Consider the following 6,000-nt stretch of genomic DNA (forward strand, 5'->3'; position numbering starts at 1 on the left):
TCATTAGATCTCAGGAGAACTTGCGCACTGTAACGAGAACAGCATGGGGGAAACTGCCCCCATGATTCAATTACCTCTCCTGGTCCTACCTGTGACACGTGGGGATTATGGGAATTACAATTCCAGGTGAGATTTGGGTGGGGACACAGAGCCAAACCAAATCAGTATATGTGAAAGGACTTTGCAAACTTAAAAGTAAAATAGAATCATAATTTACTTCCCTATACTTCGTTCTAGCAACTCCAGGCATCCACAGCTGGAGTTCCCTGAGGCAGATGGCTTGGATCTCTTACTACCATATCTTTGGTCTCCTCCTGTTACATGCCTTACCTTTGTGGGTTTGTCTAGTTTCTATCGTGTAGATGCACTGTCTGGCATGGTCATTGTCCAGATCCTAGTAAGAGCAAATTACTAATTTTCAAGTCTGAATCAGTCCAATTTATAAAGTTGTTTTTTTTTTTTTGTTTTTCTTTTTGTTTTTTTCCTGATCTTCTATGCCCTTACCTACGGAGCAAAATCAATAGACAAAATGAAAGTTCATCTGTGCGTATATCTATGGCCAGATAGGACTACTCTGGAAATTTTGACTATTTCATTCACATCAGCTACCAACTGGCAAGCAATTGATCATACTTGTTTTGCTATTTCAACCACCTTAATGACTAAATTGGACCGACCACTTCTTATTTAGTCATTCTGTAGATAAACTGGGGTGGGGCTGGAAACTGTTAATTCAGCTGTGTGCATTAGACATGCTCCCTACTCAGCTCTTCAGGTAGTGTCACACTGATAACATATACTAATTCATATTAGAAGATGCAGACCGAAGTGTCATTTGCTAGGACTTCAACCCAATAAAAATACTGAATAAAATCAAGAACCATGAACATGATCCGTGTTGTATTTTTTACCATTCCTAATCAATATGTACAACTTTAGTAATGTTTTTATATTGACATTATTGGAAATGAGGTAATGTACATAAATGGATTTCCCTGATAATTTCACCTTCCTCCTTCAGTGGCATGAAAAAAATTAACTACTTTTGGATGGCAGTTTCAAAAACGTATCACATAAATCTAAAGCAATAAAAAAACCTAATCTAAATACAGCACACCCTTGGTATTTGTAAAGACTTTTCCTGAGGTCTTTGCCTGCCCTCAAGATTGAAGCTACAGGAATGTTTGTACAGAGGCCTGACTTTCTCATGGGTTATATTTATCACAAATTTTAACTTTCACTAATGTTGTGTCCTCATATAATGGAGATAGCAAAGAAGTACAACTCGTAGCATGGGATGAGTCATGTCATATGTGATTCTGAATGCAGTAGTGTGGAGGTGGAGGTGAGGTGAAGAGCATAGGCCCTGGAGCCAGTTGCTGGGATCAGATCCTGACTTTTCTCTTTAACAGCTTAGTGACGTTGGGCAAGTTCCCTGACTTTTTCTTGCCTCTCTCTCATTTATAAAATAGGGATAACAAAACTTACCTCAAGGCATTATTGAGAGGACTTTGTTTTGTTTTGTGGTTTTGTTTTTTTTTTTAGACAAGATCCTCACTCTGTCGCCCAGGCTGGAGTGCAGTGGCACAATCTCAGCCCACTAATACCTCCACTTCCCAGATTCTAGCAATTCTTGTGCCTCAGTCTCCCCAGTAGCTGGGATTACAGGCATATGCCACCACACCCGGCTAATTTTTGCATTTTCAGTAGAGACAGGATTTCACCATGTTGGCCAGGCTGGTCTTGAACTCCTGACCTCAAGTGATCCACCCACCTTGGCCTCTCAAAGTGCTGGGATTACAGGCATGAACCACCACACCTGGCTGACTTAGTAAGTTTTATCACATTACTTGGCACAGAGTGATTGCTAAATAAATGTTAGATTTAAATTAATTACAATTATAGAGAACAAAATATTGGACTTGAGATATGCATTCTGCCTAGGGATGGGTGGCAGGCTCATATGCTAGCAAGGTGACTTGAAGTTCACAGAATTCAAATTTGTGTCTTAGCTAACTTTCAAATTTTATCACAAACTTTTAGGGACATGATGAATAAGTCAAAATTATTATTTTCAAACCCAGTAATGTCAGAACTTTATTGTAATCACAATATTTCTCTCCCAAACATCTCACTTGTAATAAAAAAAAAAAAGAAAGAAAGAAAAAGGCCGAAGATTTAATATGCAGTTCCCAAGATATAACATTGATTTGTGGTCAAATAATATAGGCTAAGCCGCTTAAACATTTTGAATTTGCTCCCACATGGTGACAAATTTTTTTTTTTTTTAACAGAAAGAATTGTTTAACACGTTTCATCTTTGAAGTCCTTTTTGGAAAGTATTAGATAAACTTTGATATTTTTACCTAAAATCATCCATCACTTCTCAGTAAATCCTTTACTGGAAATGTGAATACCATCCCAGTGGAGTTAAAATGGGCCCAGAAGCTGAGAAATTTGCTGTATGAGAAAATAAAATCTAGGGAGCTCTAAGGTCTGAGTTGGTATGATTTTATATAACAAAGTCAATTACAGCCATAACTGCTCTCTACTTACTGAGACCTAATTTAAACTAACATCATTTCAAATAATACTCCTTGAGAACTAAATCCTTTGCTTCTTAGGTAAGTAAAACTCTCTTTTGACTTCAAAGGGAGTTTTGCCGACCTTTAGAAAGCAGTTTATGTTTCTAGTCATATTACCCTTATGTGATCCCCTTTTTCTCTATACTTTTGAGTTCCTTGATGTCTGAAAATTCTGATGGATATTAGTGGTGCAACTTCCATGCTAGTTTGCATTAATGTCTCTCCCCTTCGCTTCAACTGTTTAAGTAGCTTTTAAGAAAAATTATGTTGGCATGCTCCCGAGAAATTGCACATTGTGATAGATATAATTATCTTAAAAATAGATCAATATGTATTTAAAATACTAGGGAGTGTGTTTTATAAGACAGTATATGGTCCATAGCACTGGCATGATGAACAGATGCATATATTGTTTTTGCTCTGCTGCTCTAGGAAAGCACTTTTTAATTGCACGTATGGGTCATGTAAAAAAGTAGAGAAGCTATACCAAAGTACTTCAGCAATTAATATTTTTTAAAATTGATGATATACAGCCCATTAGCTCTTTTGGTTCCTTTCCAGTGAAAATGCCAGTCTTCCTTACCAGTCTTCCAGTCTTCCTTACCTTTCTGAAGCATGAGCAGAAATCAGGTTTTCTCTCTTGGCAAGTCAAAGCTAATTTCACTCAATAGATTTATGCAAATTGATATTTCAGATGAAGATGTCTCAAGGAGAGGTCAAGAGAAGGTCCCAAATGGGATTTGGTTTCAAAGGGCAAATAAGAACTCCAGACTCATTTGTTTTCATCAATATTTTGCTGTACCCACGATACATATGTCATAATCAAATTCAGCCTGAACAGGGAAGCCTAATCATAATGGTGGTGCCTGGCTCTAGAGTTGAGATATATTCATATAACATGCTCTGTTCCCCTCTTTGCCGTCAATCATTATTGCATTTCACTTTGGGGAAGTAATGAATACCAAGTTTAGTTGTTGGAGTTGTATTCTTAATTAATTGAGATTATGTGATTATAACTAAGATTTTGGCAGCAGTGGCTAGCAGAGACTTATTAACGATGATCAATTATGACCAGGTGGACTTTTTGACAGCTGATTTTTACCTGACAATATGTGTAAAGGTTTTAATTAAATAAGTAGAGCTAACAAGCTGACCTCACCATCTGCTGTTATTTCTCTTCCTGGGTAGATCATTCCATTCCTTGCATAGGAACGAGTCCTCTTCATTGCAGCCCCCTTTCATTTGCTCAGCACAGAACTTACAATTCATCTGTCAGTATGGCCAGTGGTTGAGTACCTATTTATAGTCCATGATAGCACCATGACCAAAAAACAATTTTCCAAAACCAGTTGCTGAGGATCTAAACAATCCCATTCTTGCTCCAAACCAAAGAAAGAAAATTAGGCCCCTTTCTCTTTTGTCCAGTCAATAATGGCTTCACATCAAGGAAGTCTAGAACCTGAAATGCTTGCTTTGCTGTCATGATTGTTGGCAGCTATAGTGACATGGTGTGATAATGCCAGTGACCCAGGTAAACACAAGCAGAGTAGTGGAGCTGCTGTGCCTGGCTGAGGTCCCCTTCAGGACTGAACCATCTGTTGCTGGCAGTGTGGGCACAAATAACTCACAGATGTGTCCTCACTCCCACCCATACCCCCATTATTTATCCTTAGCCCAGGGAGCTGCCTCACTCTGGGCTACATCACCCTAGCTACACCCTGAGCCCCAGCAGTTGCCATCTAATGATTGGTCAATGCAGGGGTAGAAAGGCCTGACCCCTTGTCTCAAACTGAGACAATTGTGAGAGGCCAACTGTGCTCCAAGCTGGCTGCGGGATCACTGAGGCTTCTTTGGTAAGAATATCTCAATTTACCTTTTCTCTCTACCTACTCTTTTTTCCCCTCACCCCTCACAATGCTGTTTGTGAGTTCCCCAAGAACCATCCTGCAAGCAAATCTCTTTCTCAGAGTCTGTTTCCTGGACACCCGAGCTACAACATACAGTGATGACACAGAGCTTGCTTGCAAACAAAGATTGTACTGATTTTTGTGCCTTAAGACTGATTTCACACTTCTATGTGTCTTTTCTATGAGGAAGAGAGAGACTGTGGCTTTATCCTGCACTTCATTATGGATACAGTAAAGGAAAGGCTACATTTCATTGGAAGTACTCACACATACTTTTTCAGTGTGTATTGTCATATCAGACATACCTAAAACACTCATGTATTCAGTCAAGGGCTTCAGGGCATGAATTGACTTTGAATTGACTTAGCAATGCTTGCTGTCCATATCTTCTCTAGTTAGATGGAGCATTCTTCTATTTCCTTCCCCTACAGTGGTCCTCTACTGTAACTCCTAGCTATTCTCAGAAGCTATAGGTTTATCCCCCAAATTACTTTGTGTACCATAAGAGTTTGGTTTTGGGCAAGCTAAAATTGAGATGCTTATAAGACATTCAACTAGGCTGGGCGCAGTGGTTCACACCTGTAATCCCAGCACTTTGGGAGGCTGAGGAGGGTGGATCATCTGAAGTCAGGAGTTCGAGACCAGCCTGGCCAACATGGTGAAACCCCATCTCTACTAAAAATACAAAAATTAGCCGGGCGTGGTGGCTGGCACCTGTAATCCCAGCTACTTGGGAGGCTGAGGCAGGAGAATGGTGTGAACCCAGGAGGTGGAGCTTGCAGTGAGCCAAGATCGCACCACTGCACTCCAGCCTGGGGGACAGAGCGAGACTCCATCTCAAAAAAAAAAAAATTCAATCAAAGATATCAATTTGGCTGCTTGATAATGAAATTTTGAACTCAGAAGAAACAGTGTTAGCATAAAATTGCTATAAGAAACCACAAGAGTAGGATGAGATCATCTAGGGAGAGAGAAAAGAGGGTTTAGGGTAAGCTTGAATAAACCAAACTTAGGGGCCTGGGAGAAGATACAGAACCTACAAAGGAGACTGAGAAGGAGCAGCCAGAGAGAGAACTAGGACAGTATGGTATCCTGGGAGCCAGGGTGCTTCAAGAAGGATGGGGTTGTCAACTGTGTGATTTTTTCCTTTTCAATGATGGCTTTATTGAGATCTAACTCATATACCACAAAGTTTACCCTTTTAAAGTGCAGAATTCAAAGACTTGTGCATCTAATTTCAGAACATTTGCATTCCTCCTTTGTCGAAATAGAAACCCTGTATTCATTAGCAGTCATTTCCCCATTCTCCCTCTCCCCAGCCCCTGGCATTCTCTAATCTACTTTCTGTCTCTATGGATTTGTCTCTTCTGGATATCCCATATAAATGAAGTCATACAATATGTAGCCCTGTGTGGCTGGCTTCTTTCATTTACATTTTCAGGATTTACCGCATTGTAGCATTACCCGTACTTCATTTCTCTTTTATTGCCAAATAATATTCTGTTACA

The sequence above is a fragment of the Homo sapiens genome, chromosome 7 (assembly GCF_000001405.40).
Source record: "Homo sapiens chromosome 7, GRCh38.p14 Primary Assembly".
In the NCBI taxonomy this organism is placed as follows: domain Eukaryota; kingdom Metazoa; phylum Chordata; class Mammalia; order Primates; family Hominidae; genus Homo; species Homo sapiens.